The 27,659-nt window shown below is 40.2% G+C and overlaps 2 long non-coding RNA genes across 10 annotated transcripts in view; both read right to left on the minus strand.

The window, feature by feature from the left end:
* Positions 1-27,659, minus strand: part of LOC105379013 (uncharacterized) — a 406,546-nt gene that overhangs the window by 95,551 nt on the left and 283,336 nt on the right. The gene's annotated exons all lie outside the window — the stretch shown is intronic.
* LOC105379011 (uncharacterized) overlaps positions 1-27,659 on the minus strand; it is a 58,354-nt gene that overhangs the window by 13,640 nt on the left and 17,055 nt on the right. For 3 of the 7 annotated variants that reach the window (XR_001742694.1, XR_007058803.1, XR_007058802.1), the window contains exons 2-3: positions 9,898-10,055; positions 4,952-5,057 (exon numbers count right to left, since the gene is read on the minus strand). This is a non-coding gene — a long non-coding RNA (uncharacterized LOC105379011). Of the gene's footprint in view, positions 1-4,951; positions 5,283-9,897; positions 10,056-11,556; positions 12,422-13,773; positions 20,383-27,659 lie in introns of those variants that run through there. The other 4 variants (XR_002956214.1, XR_007058801.1, XR_001742693.1 and 1 more) reach the window with 4 other exon arrangements.

Genomic DNA, 27,659 nt, shown 5'->3' on the forward strand with positions numbered 1-27,659 from the left:
AGAAAGGGAGAAGAAGAGATATAGTTTTCTACATATGACAGAATAAAAAATACTAGTGTTTGTTTCTCATTAAAAAAAAGTCAGAGGCAAAAACTACAATTGGATCTGGCCTATAGCCACTCATGCTAAATAATGAAGGAAGGGAAGCATAAGGCAACCGGATATAGACTTGGCACAGACTTGTAGGTTTCTAATTTTGTAGAATCTTCTGTGTTCCCTTTCACCAGAAAGTCACATTCTAGTTTTGTGTGGTTAGATGCTTTGCCCCATGATAGTCTTTTCTCCCTACCCACCTCCTAATTGCTGTTAACATCTCAATGTTCTCAATACTTCCTTCTCCCAGAAACTTCACACATGCTAGTTCACTGCATATGTACACAGTCACACACACACACACACAGCTTATACACAGTCATTCACATGCACACACACAATCACTCCTAAGCACATACACATATTCTCATGTTAGCCTAGCACAATCCACTTCCTGACTCTGATCACCTGTGCAACTACTTGGCCATCTCTTCCCTCCCTTGAACACCCCAGCTTCACCCATAAGCAGGAGGAAAACCTTTCATTTTGGGGGACCTATACGATAATAGTGACATTCACATTCAAGACACTCCCAAAACTCACTCAGAGTCCTGGCTTTTCCAGTGTCAGCAGCATATGACTCCACTCCATTCTTTTCGCTAATCAAGATTATCAGGAAGCAATTAAGAGTGAAATCTGCATAAGGTTAACCTTGAATTTGTTTTAGTTTCTCTTTAATTTCACAAAATTCTATAAGTGTTTTGAATCGAATTGTGTTCCTTAGAAAGATATGTTGAAGTCCTAACCCCCCATACCGGGGAATGTGATCTTACTTGGAATTAGAGCCTTTGTAGATGTAATCAAGTTAAGATGAAGTTATTTGGGTAGGCCCTAAACCAGTATGACTGGTCTCCTTATAAGAAGGGGAGAAGACACACAGGCAGGGAAAACGTCACGTTACAATGGAGACAGAGACTAAAGGGATGCAACTACAAGCCACACAAAGGATTGCCAGCCACCGCCAGAAGGCAGGCACCAGCAAGGAAGGATCCCACTCAGTGTTTCTCAGAAGGAACATAGCCCTGATGACATCTTGATTTCAGACTTACAGATTCCAGAACTGTGAGAGAATAAATTTCTACTGTTTTAAGCCACCTAGTTTATGGTACTTTTTTATGGCAGCCCTAGAAAACAACTGGAGTAAGTATAAATATACTCCTCCTAGTGAGCCTCATGACTGATGAGAAATAAAAATGGAATGTTAGCAAGGGCAAGAGTGGAGAGAAATCATGGGGGCCAGGCTGGGCGCCTGACGGCTTGTCCTCTGTCCCTCTAGGCCCCCTGAAGTCTGCAGCGTGCAACTAGTTTAGGGACCATATTTGCTTCAGCTCTTTCAGGAAATGTAAGGTTCAGCTATGACGATCTGTTGCTTATAAAAATATAAATGCTTATGCCTCTGCTCATTTGTGTGTATATTTATTTAAGTCTTAGATATAGCTGTGTATGTTTTGCATGTTTCTTGTTGAACACTAGTCCATAGAATGTTTTCCTGGTTATAGTGAATTTCCTGTTTTTGATGTCAGCATGGCAATTGCTGTAGTTGGTGGTATAGCTTGGGTCTGCTGGTACTACCCCTTTATGTGAATTGGGTGATAAAGATCCATACCAGAAAGAAAAAGACTTCTTGGAAAGACATAGTCAGAGAGCAGAAAAGCAGCTTCCAAATGAGAAAGGATAATGTATATTAAAAGAGAAGGGAACAGAAGAAAGGTCTTATTAATTGTATTCACGTATTTCATATATGTATTGCTGTCTAGTCCTAACAATATCCTTAGGCACAGGTATCATGCCCATTGTGGGGATGAAATTGAGGCTTGGAGAGCTTAATTGGTCTGCTCAGTCACACAGCTAGTAAATGGGAGAGCCAGGATTTCAGTCCAGTTATGCCTGGCTCTTATTCCAATTTGTAGTGGAAACTCAGTAACTATTAGGACACCCTTGAGAAGAGCTGTTCAGACTTATCAGAATCATGGAAGGAAGCTGGATTCTTTGATTACCAACCTGAAGTTGTAAGTAGTCACATCTTTTTACATTGCATATAATGGCAGTCTTACTTTGATACTTAAGAAGGCTACACCAGGATGCATTGTTGACACATTTTTCTATTGAAAACTAAGATTTAGGAAATTACAATGGCAATTTGATCACCTTCTTTCATAATAATAGAACCTAAATTTCTAGCTGGGCTCACGGCCATGTTTCTTGGTTTTCTTTGCAACAAGATGTGTCCATATCACTAATTTCTGACCACTGGGAAATAGAGGGGAGTGTCACGCAGGTTCAGTAACCTTCCTAAAAGAAAGCTGAAGCATACTCTTTGCCCCTTTCCTCGCCAACCCTCCCTTCACTATGTTGCTGGTAACTTGGATGTGATGACTTGAGCTCTAACCCCCTTATTCGATGACAAAGGTCTTGCTCTAAAGATAGCAGAGCAGCAAGTTGAAGAGCCCAAGTCTCTGAGGACTTTGTGAGGACTGGGGTTATTTCAGTCCTGGACTGCCCACCTTCTACTTGCACACAAGAGAAAAATAAACTAACTTGTTTAAGCTACTAGAACTGGGGACTTTGTTACTTGCAGCCAATGCTAATTCTAACTGATACAGGTTTATCACAGAGGCAGTCAGCTAATAGCAGAAGGTAGAACAGGGATTGCCATGTTTGAGCAGCTTCCCATATTATGGTGGCTTCTGTCCCTTAAAACACACACACACACACACAGACTTCTCTGTGTTTTTAGTTGTGTTTTCATAGACTCATCCTCCTCTTCAAAAAGCCTAAAACCCTCAAGTGAAGTATCGGGCACCCAATTCCCATCTTTCGCCAGTGAAGTCAATAATACTTAAGTTTTATGTTTTTCTCCATTCTTTCACTTTATTTTTCTCAGTCACTATTACTTTTACTTGCACATGCTCTAAAATTTGGTTTGTCAAACTCTTCTCTCTCTCTGCTCTTTCAAAGCCTTCATTATGCTCCACATGTTCAGAGACGATATAATGCAATACTCTGCCGCTTACTTTTACCTGCTCCTCATTCTTACTGATGTAAGGCTGATAGATCAGAGGAACAGACCCAAGGGCAAAGGGGAAATGAAATGAAATGCTCTTAAAAACTTACTGGGAAGGTCTGTCTAACCCTACCTGATGTGTCTCTTTGTTACAGCTCTTCATTATCTTTTTTTTTTTTTTTTTTTTTTTTTTTTTTTTTTTTTTTTTGAGACAGAGTCTTGCTCTGTCACCCAGGCTGGAGTGCAGTGGTGTGATCTTGGCTCACTGCAACCTCCACCTCCTGGGTTCAAGCAATTCTTCTGCCTCAGCCTCCCTAGAAGCAATTCTCCTGCCTCAGCCTCCCTAGAAGCTGGATTACAGGCGCACATCACCACACCCAGCTAATTTTTGTATTTTTAGTAGAGATGGGGTTTTACCATGCTGGCCAGGCTGGTCTTGAACTCCTGACCTCAGGTTATCTGCCTGCCTCAGCCTCCCAAAGTGCTGGGGTTACATGCATGAGGCACTGCGCCCAGCTGTTCTGTCATTTTTGATAAGAATATAAGTCCACTGATCAGGAAACCTCCCTACATCTTCCATATGCTGCCAACACCTCATGGGTGTCTAATAAGCAATTAAATAGTCCCAACAATAAGAGAGAAACCCAAATTCTAAAACTCGAATCTTCACAAACCACCATGGCACACGTTTACCTATGTAACAAACCTGTATATCCTACACATGTACCCTGGAATTTTAAAATAAAGAAGCAGGTGAAATTAACATTAATAAAGACTCTATTCAACTCCCCCCCACCAAAAAAAAAAAAAACCCACTAATCTTCATTTATGACGTTGTATAATTCCTCTAAAGCTATTCTTTAATTCATTTGACAGGGGCTGAAGGAAGCTTGTTACTTAAGCAGGAGGTGGCCCAGAGGGAAGAACTAGAGAGATGTTGGGGTGGGGATGATGGTGGAGGATGCATTACACACTCTCAGGGCCACCATTACTACCACCCTGGACTCACACACAACCCACTCTCTACTGTGAACCAAACTCCACACAAACTTCACCTAGAAGCTCCTGAGCAGCTTCCCTGCCTCTGTGAGTTCCATGGCAGTGTGGATGGTGGCACCCACAGCACTTGGTAGGCAAGGAGAGAGGGGATTCTCCAGAGGTCTTCCCCAAGAGGGAACCGCTTCTAAAAGATGGGCCCCAGAACTTCAGAGAGAGAGAAATTTAGACTTTGTAAAGCCAACTCTTCGAGATATGGGAGTGGACAGGGAAAGGAGGTGTTTCCCTAGAATTGTACTATTTCCTAGTTTGGTTTAGTCGGTTCTCCACAGCCCACTCTACATAGCCAGGGGATGCAGAGCCATGTCTGCTCCCTGAGGGTTGCACCTACTGTCATTAACCCCACCCAATTTTCTCACTGAGGAGGTAGTAGAGTGAAGTGAGCCTGTAAGCTGCTGGCTCTTCTTGCTGCTACCTCCAATATGCCCAACAGCAGATGGCCTTCACGGGCCTGTTGCATGACCCCAGGTCCAGCAAACACATTTCCTCTGTGTCATCAAGGTTTGTCTGGAAGATGAGCTCAATAAATTCTTGATGAAATCCGCCAGCCTACTATCAAGATTTGACTGAGACATACTTAACTAGCGTAAACCAACTGCTACTAACAAAAAATTAACTGATGAAAAGTGATGGAAATGAAGGGACTCTGAAGCAACACGAACTAGTGATAGTCAAATAATAGTAATAGCTAATATTTAGTGAGCACTAACTGGGTCAAACATTGTGCTATATGCTTTGTATATTTTAGATAACAGTCCTTTATCTAATATATCTTTTGCAATATTTTTTCCTACTCACGGTTTGTGTTCTCATTCTCTTGTATTTGCAGAGCAAAAGCTTTTAATTTTAATGGAGTTCAGCCTATCAGTTGTTTCTTTCATGGGCGGTGCCTTCAGTGTTGTACCTAAAAAGTCATTGCCAAACCCAAGGTTGTCAGATTTTCTCCTATGTTATCTTCTAGGAGTTTCATAATTGTGTATTTTACATTTAGGTGTATGATCCATTTTGCATTACCTTTGTGAAGATGTAAAGTCTGTGTCTCGATTCTTTTCTGTGTGTGTGCATGGCTGTCCAGTTATTCCAGCACCTTTGTTAAAAGACTGTCTTCTCCATTGTATTGCCTTTGCTCCTTTGTAAAAAATCAATTGATAATTTTTTTTTTTTTTTTTGAGACGGAGTTTCACTGTTGTTGCCCAGGCTGGAGTGCAATGGCGCGATCTCAACTCACTGCAACCTCCGCCTCCCAGGCTCAAGCAATTCTCCTGCTTTAGCCTCCTAAGTAGCTGGGACTACAGGTGCCTATCATCACAACCTGGCTAACTTTTGTATTTTTTTTTAGTAAAGACAAGATTTCACCATATTGGTCAGGCTGGTCTTGAACTCCTGATCTAAGGTGATCCACCTGCCTCAGCCTCCTAACGTGTTGGGATTATAGACGTAAGCCACCGCACCCAGCCAGTTGACAATATTTATATGGGTCTATTTCTGTGCTCTTTATTCTGTGCCATTAATCTATTTATCTGGGTTTGTTTTTTTTTTCCTGCTACTACTCTGTCTTGATTACTGTAGCTTTATAGTAAGGCTTGAAATAAGGTAATTAGGAAATTAGGTAAAGTCAGTCCTCTGATTTTGTTCTTCTAAACTTCAATATTGTGTTGGCTATTCTTGGTGTTTTGCTTCTCCATATACACTTTGGTATCAGTTTGTCGATGTTCACAAAAAAATTTGCTGGGATTTTGCTGTGTCTATAAATCAAGTTGGGAAGAACTAATATTTGACAATACTGTGTCTTCCTACCCATGAACACAAAATATCTCTCCATTTATTTAGTTGTTCTTTGGTTTCTTTCATCAGAATTTTGTATTTTCCCTCATATAGATATTGTATATATTATATTTATACCTATTTCATTTTGGGGAGTGCTAATATACATGGTATAATGTTTTTAATTTCAAATTTAACTTGTTCATTGCTGGTATATAGAAGTGATTGACCACCCTGCAACCTTGCTCTAATTGCTTATTAGTTCTAGGAGGGTTTTTTGTTTGTTTTGTTTGTTTGTTTTGTTTTTGTCAATTCTTTCTGATTTTCTACATCATGTCCTCTGCGAACTGAGAGTTTTATATCTTCCTTCCTAATCTGCGTATCTTTTATTTCCTTTTCTTGTCTTATTGCATTAGCTGGAACTTCCAACATGAACTACTGAGAGAGGACATCCTTATCTGTGCCTAATCTTAGTGGGAGATATTATGCTATATACTTGTATATCTCAGAGCATCCTTACAAAAACCCTGTGAGATAAGAACTATTATAATTCTCATTTTTCATGTGAGGATACTGAAACCCGAGAAGTCATGCCCAAGGTTACATGGCTTGCAGTGGTAGAGGTAAAATTTGAACTCACATATTCTGCCCCCAGAGCCTGGTTTCCTATTCACAGGTTCCAAGGATTAGGACCTAATGTCTTTGGGGGCTATTATTCATCCTATTACAAAGACACAAGTCAGCAAGGGGCCCATGGGGAAACAGTCTCCTGACCAGGTCCCTAGAAACTTATACTATCATCCTAGGGAGACAATGCTGCTAAATAATGGCTCAAATTAGAGTGTTATATGTAAAACTGCTATTTAAATGCAATTTATTAAGGTTGTTAATATATCTAAGGAAATATAGATTTACTCATCATTCAGCGACTTTGCATCATATAATCATGATTTGTTTTTTGCCTTGAGCAAATAATTTGCCCCAAGCATAATTTCAATTTAATTAATGCCATAAAAATGAATGTGAGCATATTTATGGGGAATTAAGTTACAAAATGCTAAATTTAGTATACATTTTCTGAGGCGTGGTTCATTTGTGACTTCCATTCCTATCGTCTTATGTTTGCACAGCTGGTAACTGTAAATTCAACATGAAAACTGTATTTGAAAATCAGCAGACATTTCACTGAGGTTGGGGGTGAATTTGTCACTGCTGAATTCTGTGATGATCTACATTCTTAGTTTGTTGACTTTGAGGGGGTGATAATGGCTATATTACTCACATAGGTGTCTAGTATTGACCCAGCTTGTCATAGTATGAGATACTTGAACCATGTCTAGAAATTTTTTTCTGTTCTAACCACAGAGAGGAACACTGAACTATACCACTTGCTTAAGGAATGGGTATAACCTGGCACTGCGGAGGGGGCCCTCTGAAAGTTTATAGTTCAGCTACAGCTCTGGTTAACCTCAAGCTCAGAGGTCTAGGGAATGTGGAGGCAAAGGATATTACAGAAATCATCAGACAGACCCTCTTTCTGACTATGTTAGTGTTAATGAAGGTTCCAGTTCCCTTCCCTCTCACCCCTTAGCAGCAGTTAGTGCTTGGCACACTTTTTTCTAATGGCCCAGACAAGGGATTTCAGCTGTAAGAGTGGTCATGTGCAAAGACAGAAAAGCCTTACAATGAAAAAGCCTGACTGAGTACCTCCTTCTTGGTTTCTGAAAGGCTCAGAATGGCTTGCAACAGAAAATGGATCTTCAGCAGCTGCCCACAAACAAGGTCACCGACAACAGCAACCAGCTCTCTTCATCAGCCCCTGCCAACCCCACAAAAAGTACATATTCTCCTTCAGAAGGATCCATGAGGCCGCCATTCAATGGCTGACAGAAATGGAAAATCGATTCCAGATTCATCTCTGCTGGGAATTAAGTATATTCCTTGGAAATAATGAGTTATGAGGTCATTGAGGGCTTGTTCTTTTCCTGCTTGCAGAGACATTTTAATTTTAGAAGGAAGAGTGACTAATGAACAGGACATTCTAATTCTGGTGATGTGCTTTTTCCCATTTTAATGTCAGCTGAACCACAAAAATGTTGATATTTCTCTCTTCATTACTCCTCATGGTTCAGGAAGAACATTGTCGCCAAAGGGAAAAAAAACTGGGTAACTCCTGATCCCTCCACCCAGTTTCAAAAGACAAAATAAGGTGCAGCTCTGGTGTCAGCCAGCCTGTTTTCACTGCTCTTAGTGGGGTCATTCTATACACCAGCAGTGTCCCCACAAAACGACATTTTCCACACTTTGTCGATAGTAGTGAGATACAAGGAAGACAATGTCATTCAGAACCCAGGACGTTCAACAAGGTGGACAGAAGTTTGAAATGCAAAAATAAGAAATTCCCTTAGCAAGTCTCTCACCAAGCAGACTCACAGCTCATTCCCTCCCCCAAGTTTATAAGTACCATCTATTGAGTGCCAGCTGTAATTCTGATGTTGTTAAAATCCTGTTTACAGGCATTTTCTCATTTAATACTTGTAACAGCCCTGTGATGTCACACAATTAGTAAATTGCAGAGCTGACATTAGAAATCAGGTAACATAGTCTGTTTTCTTAAACCTTGTGCTCAAATTCAGTGGCTCTCAAACTGAAGCCTGCATCAGAATCACCTAGGGGGCTTGTCAAAACAAGGATTGCTGGGTCCCACCCCAGAATTTCTGATTCTGTAGATCAGGGGCTCAAACTCTGAGAACCATTGCTCTCATGCCTCAGTATGATCACCCACAATCACACTCTTAAAAGGCTACTTATTCAGGGAAGAACTTCAAATACAGAACACTATTCTGACTCCTCCCTTCCCTACTTCCTAAAAGAGAATCTGAGAACACTGACTGATGTGCCCAAGGCCAGGTAGGAAAACAGAAAAAATGGAGAGTTAGAGGTCTGTATTTCTCGTGTAACAATGTCCCAGTTTAGATAAAACTTCTTTACGGTGGCTCAGGACATCCAGGACACACATCCTTAATTGAGGCTCTCTACTTTAAAGTGAATGCCTCCTTCATGTGGGCAGGACTTGATCTTACTGTGGTGGTTCTCTCCACCATCACAGTCCTAGGGCAGGTTCTCAGAATTTAGAATACTTTGCATTTCTGTGTCTCTTGAGAAACGCTGGCCCCACCGTTTCAACCCTACAGTGAACTTAGCCACCAAAACAGCTACGACCTCACTACCTGAGTTTGAGTTTTTCTTTCTCTGTGAGGGTGTGTCTCTCTCTGTCTTTCTCTGTCTCTCCCTGTCTTATGTTATTGCTCACAATTTTCTTATGGATTAGCTAACCATTGGTTGATTCAATAGTAAAGCTGATGCAGTGCAATGAAATGAAATATAGTCATGTGTCACTTAATGATAGGGATACATTCGGAGAAATGCCTCATTGGGTGATTTTGTCATCATGTGAACATCACAGAGTGAATCTACATAAACCTAACCTACTACACACCCAGGCTATATGGTATAGCCTGTTGCTACTGGGCTACATACCTGTATAACATGTTACTGTACAGAATACTATAGGCAATTGTAACACAATGGTAAGTATTTGTGGGTCTGACATGGTTTGGCTCTGTGTCCCCACCCTAATCTCATCTTGAATTGGACTTCCATAATTCCCACATGTTGTGGGAGGGACACATGGGAGGTAATTTGAATCATAGGGGCAGTTTTCCCCATACTGTTCTCGTGATAGTGAATAAGTCTCAAGAGATTTGATGGGTTTATCAGGGGTTTCCGCCTTTGCACCCTTCTCATTTTTCTCTTGCTGCTGCCATGTAAGAAATGGCTTTTGCCTCCCGCCATGATTCTGAGGCCTCCCCAGAGATGTGGAATGATAAATCCAATTAAAACCTCTTTTTCTTCCCAGTCTTGGTTTTATCTTTATCAGCATCACGAAAATGGACTAATACAGTTCTAAATAAACATACCTAAATATAGAAAAGGTGATTGGTTGTGCTATGATGTTACAATGGCTATGATGTCGTTCAGTAGTAGGAATTTTTCAGCTCCATTATCACCTTACAGGACCACCTCATATATGCAGTCTGTCATTGACTGAATGTCATTATGCGGCACATGACTGTACCTGAAATAGACACAACCGGCACTTTGATTACACTGGGCAAGGAGCTAACATGACTCCTCTTCCCCACTCTTCTTCCCTTAATAATAGCCATGTCTTGGACCTTAAACAGCCACTCCTCTCTTCTTTCGCATTCACTTGGGACTGCGAGGACTTTCAGAATGGGGTACAACTACACCCAGTGCTGGAGCAGACTTCTGTGGTTTGCCTGAGCCTCTATAACACAAGGGTTCTCATGCCTCCAACGCCCTCATGGAGCTATTGTGAGGAGCTGTGCTCCTCAAAGAGGAAGTTTGAAGTGACCAAAGCCTACTTTACTGGTAGACCAAGAATTTTTTTGTTTCAATACTGAAAAGTCAGAACATAACAAAAATGGGAAATGAGGCTTCAGGTTCTACCTGTCTATATTGAAAGACTCATAGAAAGTTATTTCTTATTAAGAAATTATAAAACGAACAGGATTGGCCTAAAACAGTAAAGGGAGCCTAACCTTTGTGGTTGAATATTCCTATAATATACCAGGCACTGAGTTAGGGGCTTCAGCTATGCTATTCAATCTAATCATCATCATATCTCCGTGAACTTGGCTTTGCAATTTCAATTTCCATTTCATAGTTGAGGAGGCTGGGGCTAAGAGGTTATGTAATTTGCTTCAGATCTAATTGAGTCAAGGCTGGAACCCAGAATTTTGTTTCTTTTATGGTATATGGCCTTTTTGGAAAGGCACATGGTAAATAAAGATGGCAAAGTGGAGGAGAAAGATAAGCAACTTAGAAAGGAAAATCAAGAAAGGGTGTATGATGGAAAAATAACAAAGGCATTTACATGGATTATAGAACCAGGGCCTTTAAACCCATTAAAAAATAAAACATAAAACATAAAAAAATAAAAAACATAAAAAATAAAACATAAAAAACCCATTAGCCACAAGGAAAAATGTTTAAATGAAGACAGATTTGAGAAAGAATGAGAAACGCATAAAAGGTTTTAGGGTAGATCAGAGCACAACCTAAAGCAGGGTAGGAAAGGAGAATGGGCAACAAACACCTGTCCATGAACACACTATAACAGAGATACTCAGGGACACCTGATCAAGATGATAGAGTATAGGGATGTGGACAAATATAACTCAAATGCAGTATTTCTTTAGTCTTGTTAAAAATGAATGGGAAAAGGAAGTGCAAATAAGCATGAGATTATATAAATGGTAAAAACCTTAGAAATGTGTAAAAGAATTAGAAAAATAAATTGCCAAAAGCAGAGAGAAAGCGGGGAGGGAGGGAGAAGGAGTCGGGGAAAGAGGAAGTAGGGAAGGGGGAAGAGGAGGAGGAGGTGAAAAGAGAGTGAGGAGGGGAGGGGGAAGAGAAGAGGGAAGAGAACAGCAAAACACTGGGGGAGGAACAAAAATGTTTTAAATGTTTCCAAGGAACAAGCATGCAACTATTCTGATATCTGCAGAAATGCTGATTTTATGCTAATAAAGGAAAATACAAATACAACATACCTTTAAAAATTTCAAAATAAAACCACAGAGATGTGTTAAAGTGACAATATCAGGAAGGGGTTCTTCAGAGAAAGGATCTGTATGAATTGAAAAGCTGGGCTCAACTCTCCTTCAAGATACCTGCAATAATGCTGGCAAATTCATCTGCCTTTCCTTCTTCTCTGGCTCATTACTGAGGTGCCGCAAAATGCTGTCACATGCCCAGGCAATAAAGGGTTGGTTGGGAGGCACACCTGCTACCCTTTCTTTTATCGCTGGGAGCAAACAATGCCAGTTAGGATTTATAGCATGTCTGAAAATGCCCCAAACATAGTCACTCTCTTGGAGAACTGTGAGGAGATTCCAGACCTAGATACGGATCCCTCACAGACCCTGTTCCATGCAGCTGTTTTTATGGACTATAGGATAATAATTGAGGTTAATTGCCACTGAAAGACACACACCATATGATCTTTTTACATCCGGTTAGTGAGATGGTTCCAGCCTAGAGAGATGTTCCCAGGGGCACCACAATGATTCGCTCCCACCATTTCCCTGTACCTTACATTTATGGGTTATGCACAAGCTAATGGGGCTAATTGTTACTGCTCCAGAGGAAGTCCCTTTTGCATTTCCCCCACCTCCTGCCTAAATGTCATGTCCATTGTCTTTTTGTGCTTTGGCTTGTACACATTTTGCAGTCCACATATTTTTTTAACTGCTGTTTAAAAAAAAAAAAAAGTTACCACAAGTGGAGTTTGGCAGCCTTGACTGTTGCTCTCTGCTCAAGCGGGATTTTGTTTTTCGAGTCATAGAATAAAATGATTTAAGAAAAAGAATCCTCAGTGTTCAGGCTTTGCCTTCTAGCTTCAAAGCCTTTTACAAGCTGCAATTCATTAAACACAATAATCATTAGAGGCCAGTGGACCGACCTCTGCAGGGAGAGAGGCCAAGCCCCCCCACCCCACCCTCTTTCTCTTTGTGTTCCCAGCCACAGAAAGCAGGAGAGGGGGCGGAATAATGTTGTTCCCACCAGGCGGGCCACCCATGGCCTCCAGCCCAGGCTGCGTTTCTCTCTCCTCCTTGCCAGGGCTCCACGCTCCATTTAGCCATCGGGTACAGGCTCTTCTCTCCTCTGGGCTGCGTTTGTCTGCCTTTCACAAATAGACAGGCTGCCCACATTTTTATTTGCTTTAGATAAATGCAGAGAATTTCCTAACCACAGGGCCAGCCAAGCCTGATATATGCCCCATGGGACAGATTCCTCTCTGCCCAGCTTCTCCAGGCTGAGCCAGGAGGTATCGCACCACTTTGTCACCAAGAGATAAAGCCAGGGCACCCCCACAGCATGCAGAGCCCAGGGAGGGGGTGCACATGGCTGTGGGTCCGTGGTATTGGGGTCACTGGAATGAGAGGTATGTGGGCCACTGAGCTCCCCTGGGTCATTCCACCATTTAGAGTCCCTGTTTCTTTTGCTTTCTGTTCTTCCACACGGACCATACCCAGACCTTTTCTTAGAGACAGGGAGAAAATAATAAAGCACTCCCAAGGCCCAACCATGGCCCATGACGTTTCATATGGCAATGCCGAATTAATTTTTAGAGTTCTTCTTTCTTTCCCTTTCCCTTTGCTCTCCTCTTGTCTGCCTACTAGTTTAAGAAAACAACAAGCATAACATCCCCTTAAAACACTAACGAGTAACTATACTGTAAGGCAGCAGATTTGGCATTTAATAGCTAATCATTTCCTAATGGTACCGACAGCTTTCGGGAGTTTCATCCACAGAACAACCTTAAAAGCAGAAACTTGTGCCAGGATCTTCATGGGCTGGAGTTCCTGTGGGTGAAAGATGTGGAACCACCCCCTACCCCACCACGCCTTCCCCAGCCCCAGGCTTTTTTTCTCTACTGTCTCTACCTCTCACTCCAACCCTCTGCCTTTTCTTGAAGTCTTCCCCCGAGGCGCCTGTTTCCTCTCCCAGCTACTCCTTGATGGCTTTTCTACCAGCTCCAGATCAAATGGATCTCTCTTTCCTTCAGGTTCTTAAAACATCCATACTCAGTGGTGTCAAAATTATAATTTGAAACTTAGAAGGAACCTGAGATGCCAGCCTCTTCATTTATGGAACAGGAAATCCAGTTATTATGAGCTTAAGAGACTTTCTCAGTGTCACACAGCTAGTTTGCGGAAGGGACAAGACAAGAATCTAAGTCTCCTGGCAATGACTTGTCTGCTTACCTCCCTACACAAATGATTGCTAGAGCCAGGGATGTCTGTAGATCACCAAAGGCCATCACTCATGGCACATTTTGTCTCACCCCTGAAAAAAAAAAATGAGGCAAAGTGGTCACTGCTTTCAGCAGAATTCATTCTATTCCATTGTGAACCAGATTTCAGCCTCCAACTGCAACCTGGGGACTATCAATACTTCCTTGCTCTGCGTGTCTCCAGGAAGTTCTGTTACAAGCCCTTGCTGCTCCCTCTCCCCACTTCTCCCAATTTTGCACTACTTCACTGCTCAGGTTGCTAGCTGAGCCCCTCTGGACACAGAGCACTCAAATATGTTAACTAACACATTCAAAAGCCAAACACCACCACTTATAGTGATGCTAATTGGCACCAATGGCAGTAAAGACCAATTATATGGCAAGATTTGGGGTAAAGAGGAGGTCCAGATGACTCAGAATATATTCATATTAATTTAATATTTTTAAAATAATTTCAAACATATAGGAAAGCTTCAAAAGTACCAAGAACTCTTTTTTCCCTAAGCCTTTTGGAAGTAAGTTGCTGACGTGATGTACCACCATCCCCAGATACTTTAGTTTGTAATTTCTTCAAAAAAAGGATATATTCCCTACATAACCACAGTACCAACATGAACACTGAGACATGCACGTTGATACATTACTACCATCTAATCCACAGACCCCATTCAAGTTTCACCAATTGTCCCAGTAGTGTTCTTAATTGTAAAAGGATCCAATTCAGGATGGTGTGTTAGATGAATTGTCATGTCTTTTAATCCCTATCAATCTGGCACAATTTGTCAGTCTTTCCTTGACCTTAGTGACTTTAAGGGTTGGGATCTTAAGATTACAAGCCAGTTATTTTGCAGAATATCCTTCAACTTAAGGTTCATCTGGAATTTCCTCATGATTATATGAGATTATATATTTTGGCAGAAACAACACAGAATTGATGCTCTGATTGCATCTTATCAGGTGGTACATAATTTGTCCCATTACTGGTGATATTTTTCTTAGATACAGTAACATGTGAGTTACAGAATAACACAGCATCAAAATACATAAAGCAAAAGCCTAGAACATACGAAATGATGTACAGAACAATAGTTGGGAAAAACTCTAATAAATTTTTGACAGATCAGGGGCAAAAAAGCAAATAAGGAGAAAGAGAATTTGATAAATATAATTGATATGGCTCATTTTATATCATTTGACTTCTGGACCCCATTGACAGATCATTGACATGCTTTACATCACAGAGAAAACAGCAGTAAGTTTTCCAAGCAAGATATCTTATATTTTATTTGAAATAAAAGTATGAAAATTTCAAACTACTACTTGATTATCCAAAGGTGCTTTTAAAGATACCTCTTGGGACAAAGAAAAAGTCAAAACTATAATTAAAGAATACTTAGGAAACAATAATAATTAGGATATTATATTTTAAAATCTATAGTATGGAAGCAATGTTGTAATCAGAAGCAAATTTATAATATTAAATGTATTTTTAAATAAAGGGGGAAGGGAACGTATACTAAGAATTCTCTGAACACATTATAAACAAAGCCAAAATACCAAAATAAAGAGAAAAAGGATTCAGTAAAAAAGAAGCAAACACTAACAAACTGACATTGAGAAGAAAAAAGGATACATAAATATAAGGGTAGAATAAATTTATGATCATTAAAGTCGTGTAGTATTGCTTCAGAATTCTACAGATAGATCAATGAAATTATATAAAGCATCCAGAAATAGTGTTCATGCATAAGTACTTAATATATCAACAAGGTAGCATTTTATATTGATGAAGGATGACTCTATTATTCAATAAATGATACTGGAAAATAGATTAACCTCTGCGGGAAGATGAAGGAAGTTAAATTTCCTACTTTAGACCATGTGTCCCCAAAGTATAAATGGATTAAAGAGTTTCTAGTAAAATTAAAATATTACTTCTAAATTTTAGGCAAAAAATGACCATTATATCCCATGATGGAAGCAATCTTCCTAAATAGCATCAAGCATCGACACTCTAAAGTAAAAAGATCAATACATTTGACTATATGACTTCAAATAATTATAAAACAAAATTAAAAGGAAAAGACAAATTAGAAATATATTTGCATTATATAAAACAAAAAGAAGAGATTCCAATATATAAATAGATCTTCTAGAGCAATTAAAATTAGAAAGACCCCACTTATTGGCAATATACCAAATCACATTAATAAGGAAAAAGATTGAAATTAAAATAAAGAGATAGAACTTTGTGTTTCTTACCTTGACAAAGATTCACAAAGATATAGTCTACCCAGTGTTAGGCTTCAAGGACAAAGATACATTTCATATACTGCTGGTGGAAATATAAATTAGAACAGTCTTCTTGGAAGAAAATATGACAGTATGTATAAAAATTTAATGTGCATATTCCTCTCTAGAAATGTATTTTAAGGATTATAATTATGAAGGTGAGCAAAGACTTATGTGCAAAATGTATAATTAGGAAAAATTAGAGACAACATAAATGTCCAACAATAGGGGTTTGATTGAGTAAATTGTGGTACAGGAAAAAGACGGAATAATGTTCAGCAATTAAAATCATGTTATAGAAAAATATATAATGCTGAGTGGAAAAGGCAGGATGTAATAAAATATGATTCCTCCTTTAGTTAAAAAAGTGTGTATATACACATATATGATTTCTATATGTATAAGGAAAAAAAGAGCTCAGAAAATGCATACCAAATGTTAACAGATTAACAGCAGTTACCCCTGTTTGGGTAATTTTTGTCTTTTCATTGGTGATTTTTGTGTTTTCTATGTTTGCTACAGTAAACATGGAAGTTTTATAATCAGGGGGAAAATACTCTATTTTCAAAAGTTATTTGAGTCTTTTCATGACAGTTGCTAAATACTTTTTTCTTGTTAGTTTCCAGAAATTGCTGCTAATGAGCTTGGCTCACAAGCCAAAGCCAGGTCTACTCAGGCTTCCTTGGCCTTACCCCATCCCTGCCCATCCACCCCACCATGCCTTGTGTCACCACAGGGCTCCTCTGTATATTTTTTCCACAACCAACTCTTCCCTTAAGCCCTTTCTTGGATCCCTGGAGTAAGGAAAGGTCTGGGAAGCCCCACCAGAACTTGGGGTCTGACAGCAGCTCCACTCCTCCTCCCTAAATCCTGCAAGCAGCCTACCCTCCAGCACAGCTCTCGTCCTGCACAGCTCTCATCCCGTACAGCTTTCCTGAGTCCCAACCAGCCCCAGGACAATAAGCACTTCACAGTTTCCATGGAACAGAAGCCAAGCTGGGAGCACAGCATGGTCCGAACAAAGTATCTGAGCCACAGAGCAGAAGGCAGCCGGTGGCTGGTTGTTGTCGCTGTGTGTCCAGGGCTCACAAGAGCCCTAAGGCATGGCAATGACTAACCAAAGAATCTGAGGCCACCTTGGGATAATTTTTTTCACAATCAGACAAGAGTCTCAATGCAATAACCTCAATTAATCATGCAGAACAAGGCTAAAGAGGCATCAGGATTGTTCCCTCATGCATGTGGCCTGGGCCAGCCTGGCTTCTCTGGGCTTCTGCAAGGAGAGAGGGAGAGGCTATGGAGTGTAGGTGGAGGGGGTTTCGGGCCACAAAGCTGTGTGATTTTGAAAGCCCTTGTTAGCCTCTAAATCCTTTTCCAACAAGCTTCTGTCAACTAATATCACCTCTGTAGTGTTTTAGAGACTTGCCCATTAGAATCCTTAACACAGTCAGTCTTTAGCAGCCTGTGTGAGTGGATTGCTGCCTTCTCCTTGGAGAGCCCATTAGAACAGGTGGATGGGTTTGTTTTGAGGAAGAGGTAGGCAATGAGGAAGGTGTTTTCTGAGTGTACAGATCTAGGAGGAGACACTGAGTGAAAAAGCAGCCACTGCAGGGCTCTAGGGGCAGCAAGGAAGAGAGGAAAACAAAAAGAGGGGGTGTCTAAAGCAGGTGAATGGGTGCGGAGACACAGTTTCCCCCATCTTTCGTCCTGTGCCAGTCCTGGGCTTGGGGTTTCTACCTGTCTTCCAGCACCTGTCTTGGTGGTATGGTATAAGGGGTGGAAGGGGCTTCTTGTTTGATTGGCATGTGAGTCAGATTCAGGACAGTAGTACTCAGCTGAGATCCACCAAATTCCTGTTCTGTACTCAGGGTGATAGTTGGTATAACTTGGTTATGTGGAAGGAAATTTAATATAAAATCCACATGGGTTACCATTCTGAAAGGTCAATTCATTTTCACATGTTGAGATCTGAAGCTTTTGCATAAGTGCTGTGCATTCCACCCTGTTCGTGTCTCCTTTGCCATTCATCAGAACTTACCTGTCCCATGTCCTAGTTCTACTGAAAGTGCCCTTCTTCAGGGAGTGGCTGGTATGATAGAGAAGCCAAAATTTTTGGACATCACCCGGTACCAATGTGTTGTCACATGCTCATTGTAATATGTTTCTGAATCTAGAGGTCATATTATTTTACTTAACCTAGTAGAATGAGAAAGGGACTTGGATTATAGTGTTTGGCAATGTGGAATTCATTTTACCCACAAATAAGGAAGGCTCCCAAAGTAATTATAGCTCATTTTTATCCTTCAAGAAGTCCCAGGGATCCCAGGCTACTCCAGGCAAAGTACATTAGGAGTTATGGCCACATCTTCTCAGCAGGACTCCAGAAAAAGTGCTTTTATACGATATAGTCAGCTTATATTTCTTCCATGAGCTTCTCCTCTTATTTGTCTCTGAGAAGTTAAAAATACAGTACTCCCTTTGAGGAAGCAATCTCAATACTCATGTTCTACAACACATAATTTGGTAAAGGGGACCCTTCAGGAAACATCTCAAGGGACTTCAGTAATGTCCAGATGTCTTCCTTCTCCTTTGCATGTTGTGCTAAATCATGTCGGAAATTAGGCTTGCTACATTGTTGTCATTTTAAACAGCAATTGTGTTGTTGATACTATATCCATTTTAGAAAGAATCATAGAGGCTGGTTCTGTCTGTATCTAGAGCAAAATGACAGATCCCTGACATATTATAAATTAGAGAAAGAATGGAAAGAGTGAGAAGACAGGAGAGCTAGAAGCCAGTCTCCTGTATCAAAGTAGCTTTGTTTTTGCCTTTTTTACCCCTAGAAAAACAAGGAGAGGTTTTTTCTTTATAAATCACAATCTTTTAGAGACTTTTTCATTTAAAAAATTAGAGGTTCTTACTAAATGAGTTCCAAGTTGACATTCTTTGATGAGTTTGGGCAGGTAAGGAAGATAGATGTTTTCCCTAACTGACCACCTGGCTCAGTTCTCCCACGCTCTCTTCCCCTCCCCCGAGCGCTCCCTTGTTTAATACAAGTCTCCCATTTTCTTTGGGCTTTCACTTGATACAGCAGGGCTTCTCTGCATGACAGCCATCGTAGCCCCACAAACAGGGTTCTCCTTTCATGCAAATAATTTCTTAGATTACCGCATTTTTTCTATTTCCTTTTGTGGGGAGGAATTGTTTTTAAAAAAAATACAGTTCAATGTCTTGAGCCCATTTGCACTGATTCTCTTTAGATAACCAGAATATCACAATAATCAAAATCGGCAGTAACCATAGGCATAAGGATAGACATAAAGATAGAATCGAATTAAGATAAATAAACTGTTATATTTATGGTCAGCTGATTTTTGGCAATGATGTCAAGGAAATCTAACAGCAGAAACATCGGTATTTTTAACAAATAATACTGAGAAAATTGCATCTCCACACGCAAAAAGGTGAACTCAGACCTCACATCATACACAAAAATTGCCTTAAAATGGATGAGAGACCTAAATGTAAAAGCTAAAATATAAAACTTTTAGGAGAAAATCTTCAAAACCTTAGGTTAAGCAAAGATTTCCTAGATACAATACCAAAAGTATGACTCATAATAGAAAAGAACTTTTATTTTGGACTTCATCAAATTCAACACTTTTGTGCTTCAAAACACATCATTAAGAAAATAAAAAGACACACCACAGGCTGGGAGAAAATATTTGCAAATTCTATACCTGATAAAGGACCTGTATCCTGAATATACAAAAATATCTTACAATTCAATAAGATGACAACACGATTAAAAAAGGATTAAAGATAGGAATAAACATTAAAAAAAATCAATGACTAGCTAATAACTGCAGAAAAAAGATGGTCCACATTATTAGTTATTAGGGAAATGCAAATCAAAAGCATAAGGAGATTTATATCATACATACTAGAATCGCCATAATAAAAAAGACATAATAGTCAACATTCCAGGACATGGAGAGTTAGGAACATTTTCAGTGCTGGTGGGAATGTAAAATAGTATAGATGCTTTGGAAAAAAGTTTGATAGTTTCTTAAATATTAAACATAAATTTACCATATGACCAAGCAATTTCAGTCCTATGTATCTAACCAAGAGAAATGACAACATATGTCCACACAAAGATTTGCACACAAATGTTCATAGCAGCATGATTCATAATAACCTAAAAGTGAACATAATCCAAGTGTCCATAAACTGGTGAATAAATAAAATGTGGTATATACATACAGTAGAATACTCTCAGCAATAAAAAAGAATGAATTCTTGATACATGCTACAACATTAATGAACCTCAAAAACATTATTTTAAGTGAAAGAAGCAAGACACAAAAGACTACACACTGAATTATTCCATTTATATGAAACGTCCAGAAAAGGCAAACCTACAGAAACAGAAAGTGGATTAGTCATTGCCTGGGGCTAGGGATAGGAACAGGGATTAACTAAATGAATAGAAGGGATCTTATTGGGGTGATGAAATATTTTAAAACTGGGTTATTGTGATGTTGCACCACTCAGTCAATCTACAAAAAAAATCATTGAATTGTACACTTAAAGTAGGTGAATTTCATTGTATGTAAATTACACCTCAATAAATTTGTTAAAAGTTAGTAGCTATCAAAAGAAACTCAATGATAGATCTCAATTTCAATTTAAAATGTATTTAATTCTTCATCAACCTATTCCCCTAAGAGAAAAAGAGGAGAATAGTTCTCTAACTGTAAACAATATAATAGAGAATGTCTTTTCTGGAAGCATAAAATAGCCTATTAGTTATACCTAACCATACCCAAAAGGAAAGCTAGATTTCTTTTACACATTTTCTTTGTAGAAGGTATTCCATCCGAATAAAACTTGATCCCATCTCACAAAGAATTGGTCCTGAATCAGATATTTTAAAGTCAGATGTTAGGACAGTTAGCCATCATATTTTCCCAAATAGAAGAAAATCTTTTCCAAATGGAAGAAAAAGAAGAAAAGAAACAAAAAAAAAAAGAGGTGGGTGTGGGGGGAGAAAGGGAGAGAGGAAGAAAGAAAAGCAAAAAAGCTAGAAGAAGAAACAAAGCATCTGAGATTTGGAGAACCTCAAGCCAATCTTCAAGGTTGGAAACATTTCACAAAATTGATGAACCAAATTCCCATAGCACCCAACTCGTAGAGACAATTTTCAGGGAGAAAGACCCACTGCTATCTCCTCATTAGCATACCTGTTGCTTTACATTCTATGCTTGAATAAATATACAACATGCAAGTTGTATAGGAAAGCACTAGCCAGCTGCCCCTAAGTTTGATTAACTTTAGGAGCCACTGAAATAAAATAACCAAGTGCCTCACCCTCTGATAGCCAGGGCAATCTGCAAACCACTACCCACTTATGGAAGTCCTGATCCTGAGCAGAGTACAGCTTGTCCTGTGCCTTCAGTGTCTGAACCTCGTGCAGATTATGCTTCAGAGGGTGGTGTGATTTAACATTTCCTCTTTCATTTTTTTCTTTCGGCTGAGTGGTTGCTGATTACTAGACAGTCAAAATTCTTCTAAAGAAGAAATGTGAACTGTGAGTTTTCAGAACCTGTGTCTGCAAAACCAAACCTATGGCTGCTTCTGTCCAGGGTTAGCCCAGAAATATGGGATGATAAAGCATGTCTGTGTTTAACTTACGGTCAACTCCTGTGGCAGGATCCTCATCAATGCTACTTTCTTTTCTTTTTTTTTTTTTTTTTGAGACAGAGTTTCACTCTTGTTGCCCAGGCTGGAGTGCAATGGCACAATCTCGGCTCACCACAACCTCCGCCTCCTGGGTTCAAGCGATTCTCCTGCCTCAGCCCCCAGAGTAGCTGGAATTACAGGCATGAGCCACCATGCCAGGTGAATTTGGTATTTTTAGTAGAGACGGGGTTTCTCCATATGTTGGTCAGGCTGGTCTCGAACTCCTGACCTCAGGTGATCTTTCCGCCTCAGCCTCCCAAAGTGCTGGGATTACAGGCGTGAGCCACCATGCCCAGCCATCAGTGCTACTTTCTTTTGCATTCAGTTAGAAGAATTCAAGTCAGGCAGGACTTGCAGAAAAATGATATTGGGGAGATGACATGGGTCTAGTTGTCTTAAGAACCGAGATCTTTTGTCTGGTAGGGCTGGAGAAAAGGTGTGAGAAATGAACCTCCTGCTGACACAAAGGAAAGGGTTCTGGTAACTGTTCATTTTACCCACAAAAGCTCTGAATGTCTGTGAGACAAAAGGCAGCTTGTTCCTTTCCAGACTCAGTGATACTATGGAATGGAGGCCGGGGTGGTTCCAACAGGTATTTTGCCAGTGCAAATGCATGAGCTTGGAGAAGGGCTTGCCAAAACCTGTTAAGGTTTATAGAAGTCAAGCGGCCATGGAACGCCAGCTCTGATCATATTTCTTGAGTTCGGCTTAAGTTTTGTGCTTGCAGTTGACTAGCTTTTTTGTATTTTGATTTTCATTAACACAGAAGGCTTGCTGTTGGCAATCATGCCTTGGAATGTCCTTGCTACAGCTTAACGTTTCAGCACATTTTGCCTTGCCTAATGATGGAGTTGCGGTTTGCCAGGAAGGTACTTTTAACGCTTTCTTCCTAGAACTGGGTAGAACTATCCCCATGCAAACCTCAGCTAGTTCAAACAAAGCTTCTGTAATGGCGAAGGGAGAGAAAAGCTGCTATAAATACTTTTATAGGCTGCATAGGTGATTTACAACCCGCTTTATTAATCCTATAAAAAGGCACAGCTGAACGCCTTTAAGTTACATGCATACAGATGACTAATTAAATACACAGTTAAAAGTCTTGACCTAGCACAATTCTGACCATTAAAGAAATAAGTCTTGAATTTTCCTCTAGGCAAAAGTTTCTGGATGAATTTGTGGGTGGAAGCGGGTGGGAGCAAGGTGGAGGGGGAAGGCTGACATGGATGACGGTGGCAGGTAGAGAGCCGAGGGAGGCAGTTCATTTCTGCTGGCTCATGTTTTCCCATCTTCACTACACACACTGACGACAACACAGCAGTCACATGAAGGCTCCACACCGCCAGAGGCTGCTTCCTCTGACCTCTAACAATGACAAGTCCATGGTTAGCTTGCATGGGGATGAATTCAACGGCCTTGGGAAACAAAGAATAGGAGAATCCCAGCATTCATTCTGGGAGAGATCTTAGCAGCTGATCACCACCCTACTCCAGGCCTCCCCCGCCCCTGCCCTTAGTTTGCGCTCTCAGCAACTGAGATTCAGGGATGAGAGGTGATGTTTTTCCAGTCACAGGACTAGTTAAAAGGAAAACCCAGACGAGGACCCAGAAGCGACCTCTAGAACATTAACCTTTCAGAGACACATTCATTGCTCAGGCTGTGTTGCCAGGAGACACAACATATTTAGATGGGGGGGTGTAGGGGGAGGAAGAGGCATTAGTGGAAGGCGAGTCAGGTAGGATATGATTCCAAAACCAAAAATGTTTGCCAAACCATTTATCAGAAACATAAAAGGCCCTTTCAGTTTTCAGGTTCTTGGAAGGGTTTGGAAGAGGAGGGAGTGGCCTTTCCCATCAGGGGACAAGCCCCAACAATTCTTCCATTAGCTCAGTGGGATTTTCTTTGTTGGTTGGTCCCCTCACAAAACATTTTTAGAAGCTCCCAAATCAGACTGTGAATGTGTGATATGAGAATGCTGGGTCAGGAAGATTGGGTAGCGAGCCTGGGGGCGCCGCTTAAGGCAGCCAATATTATTCCTCCTGCATTTAGCTCCTGAGGTGACCCACAATGTCAAGGTCACCTCAACACTCCAGGTGGCCCGTACAGGGCTTACAGCCGAGCATTTTTTCCATTGGAACAGTTCTACTTGCTTTGCTTGGCTCCCTTATGAGCCTGGGGCTATTTCCTCAGTTCCAAAATGGAAGACACATTTTCTTCCCTCTGTATATGTGAAGCACCTGCTTGGAAACATTGCCTTCACTTTCTTTCACTAATTTTCCACCCCCTTCTCCAGCAAATTCTGATTCATTATTCAAGTTTCAGCTTAGATGTCACTTCTAATCAGGGAAGTGTTTCCGGATCCCAAGAACAAGTTGAGGGCCCTCTCCTTTGTTTGCACAGAAGGCTACATACACCCTGTCACATAAAGCTCTCATCACACTGTCTTACAATTGGGTTGAGGTTGATTTTTCCTGCCAGACCATAGGCTCCAGGAAGTAACGTTGCTTTATTCACCATTGTGTCTCTAGCACACACCATGGGGCCTGACATCCAGAGGGGTGATTGAACAATGCAAATATTTGTTAAACACCCTCACCATCTCTCCATCATTTTCCATATCTGAAAACACTTTTATAGGATACAATTTTTTGAGTTAGAACTTAAAAATTGGCCCGGCATGATGGCTCACACCTATAATCCCAACACTTTGGGAAGCCGAGGCCAGAGGAATGCTTGGGGCCAGGACTTTGAGACCAGCCTAGGCAACATAGCAAGATCCTATCTCTACAAAAAATTTAAAATTTACCAGGCATGGTAGTGTACACCAGTAGTCCCAGCTACTTGGGAGGCTGAGGTGGCAGGATCACTTGAGCCCAGGAGTTTGAAGCTGAAGTGAGCTATAATCGTACAACTGCACTACAGCCTGGGTGACAGAGTGAGACCCTATGGCAAATATATATATTTTTCTATATATAAGTATATATATATATATATATATATATATATATATATTTAGATATATATTAAACATTTATATTGTATATTAAACATATATTGTATATTAAATATATATATTTTGAAAAGTTTGTTTTAATACTATTGAACATTTCATTTTCCCCCCACAGTAATCAAAGCAAACATTTTATCATTATTTTTATCATTATTATTCTTGGTATATCAAACTAAATTCCAGGAATGTATTATATATAAAAAACATATTTGCTATATATAAGTATATATATTTATATATACATATGTTTATATATAATTTTACTCTAGACACAGGGATGTGGAAGAAAATTACTGAATATGGGGACTTCACTCATTTGTTAGGACTGCTGCAGACTAGGTGACTTAAACAACAGAAACTGATTGTCCCACAGTTCTGTAAGTTAAAAGCCAAAATCAAGGCATCACAGGTTGGTTCCTTCTGAAGGCTGTGAGGAAAGTATCTGTTCCGAGGCCTGTCTCCTTAGCTTGTAAATGTCTGGCTTCGTGTTCACATGGGGTTCTCCCTGTATGCCTGTTTGTTATCAAATTTTCCCCCTTTTTATAAGCCAGTCACATTGAATTAAGGCCGCCTCTCATGATCTCATTTTAACCTAATTAGTTCTGCAAAGACCCTATCTCCAAATAAAGTCAGAGTTCAAGGTACTAGGATTTAGGACTTCAACATATGAATTTTGGGGACACAATTCAACACATATCAGGAATAGTGGAAGTTATTACAACTCTAGGTGGCCACTTGAAAGGCTAAAATCAAAACAAAATTAAAATATCTTTTTTTCTGGAAACAATCTTCTCATAGGGCTTGGACAGCCAGGCTGGGTAACATATTCTAGGGATGTAATCGTCTCCAGATTGGGAGGCTTAGGATTTTTAAGATCCTTCAGCAGAGTGTTCTATCTGAACACAAGGTGTTCTAGAAATGCCTTGTATACAGAAACCCCCTTCTTTACCTGTCATAGTGAAGAACTATACTCCCTTTCCCCACCAGTGATTCCTATGATGATGACAAGAAGCAAAGGGAGACTGAGATTCCTAAGCTCATGATGGGAGTTTCCATTCCTTGTTCCAAATTTGCACTACATTCCCAGAATAGCTGTGAAATTAGAATTTGACCATAAACCTGGTGAGCAATGAGTTAAGGTCACCTAGAGCTAAACTGTGCCTCTGCTTGCTGTTCAGTGTTTCTTCTCTGTGTCTCTTTCCCCTCCCAGCAAGGCCAGAAACAGACAGATCTCTAAGGCAGCCTCCTGCTTCCTTCTGTTTCAATTTGCACTTGCTTAATTTTCAGTGGTTTGAGCATCTTTCTGTAAGTTGATAAGGCTGTTGAATTTTCTCTTTTGTAAGTGCTCTTTATATATGAAGGAATGTTTCTCTTAATGTGGCCTATTTTCTCCATGTTTCCAAGTTTCAGCTTTGCTTATGAATTTTTCCCTGCCAAAATTTTAAATCCTTACGTAATCAAATAACAAGTCTTTTGCTTTTTATCTTTTACATTTCTTAAATGTTTTCCTCAGAAATTTCACTGATTCCTGGTGGCATTTTCTGTCCCTGTCTCTTACACCAGGAGTTGTATATGTCTGACTTATTTACAAGTCTTGAGAAACTTCACAGGCTCTTTAAGTGATAGGTTTTATTTTCTCAGGAGTGGCTTTGCAATATTCTGGATTAGACACATTTAATAACATCAAATAACACTTCCATTATAGTGTTGATCATATTCTATATTTTTGTCCGGGTAGATATCTGTGTCTCCCACCAAACTGACCTTCAATGAAGCCACAGATTGTGTCTCATTCACTGCTATAGCCCTGAAGCCTAGCAAAGTGACGGGCAAACAATGAGTGTTCAATAAATGTTCTCTTGAATGCCATCCCTAGGGCCTCCCCTTCCCTGGTTGGCCCTTACCCTTTAAGTGCCATATCCTGAATGGTAAGTTCTATCAGGTTGTTCAGAGCTCAGCATCTGATAACATCATTGGCCCACTGGTAACAGGGTATTATGATGGTCAAGTGTGACCTCGCTCCAAAAACATTTTTTATCATTAAAAAAGTACGAGGGACTGAATCCTTTGGAGCCACTCAAATTCTATCTCTATGCCTATTCTGTCTACATATAATGGTGAACCAGATTAAAGGACTTTTTCACCCCAAATCTTTGCTATTTCTTAAGTTAATCTTTGTTTTTTCTTCCCTCTCAGAGTCCTGCAATCAATAAAAGCCAATCAGTGGCTTCCATTTTGCTGTTACTGTTCATGAAAAGGCAACGCTTGACCTCTTTTGAGAAATGATGCTATAAAAAAGATTTTAGACCTCTTTTCATGTGGCCAATAAATAGAATAATAATGGAATCTATTTCTTAGAGTATGCATGTGGCAACCCCTACTCTTAGCTACTTTTTTCCACTCTACTTGCCACTGCTGAAAAAAGGGAAGACACATGCTTATTGAACTACTCTAAAGTTAGGAAGCCAAATGTCATGATTTTGTTCGAGGAAAAACCCTGCTTTGTGTTTTTCAGTTCCACCTTAGCAAAGTTAGGGCTGCTACTCAATACTGAGCAAGCACGTGAAGGGAGAGAATGGGAAGAATGAAGTGGGATGCGTCTGTCGAATCCTGCACAAGTCTGCGTTTGGATTTGCTATGAAAGTGACTCATTTCATAAACAATACAGCCGCTGTAGGAGGCAGGCCTGTCAGATTTGATGGATGGCTGTGTGTCTCTGGATCTTCTGCAGTTGTTGGGCGGATAGGCTTCAGGGCCAAGCAACCATATCAAATCTATCTTGAGTCAATAAGAAATATGAGAACTCTTCGCAC

The sequence above is a fragment of the Homo sapiens genome, chromosome 5, assembly GCF_000001405.40.
Source record: "Homo sapiens chromosome 5, GRCh38.p14 Primary Assembly".
NCBI lineage: Eukaryota > Metazoa > Chordata > Mammalia > Primates > Hominidae > Homo > Homo sapiens.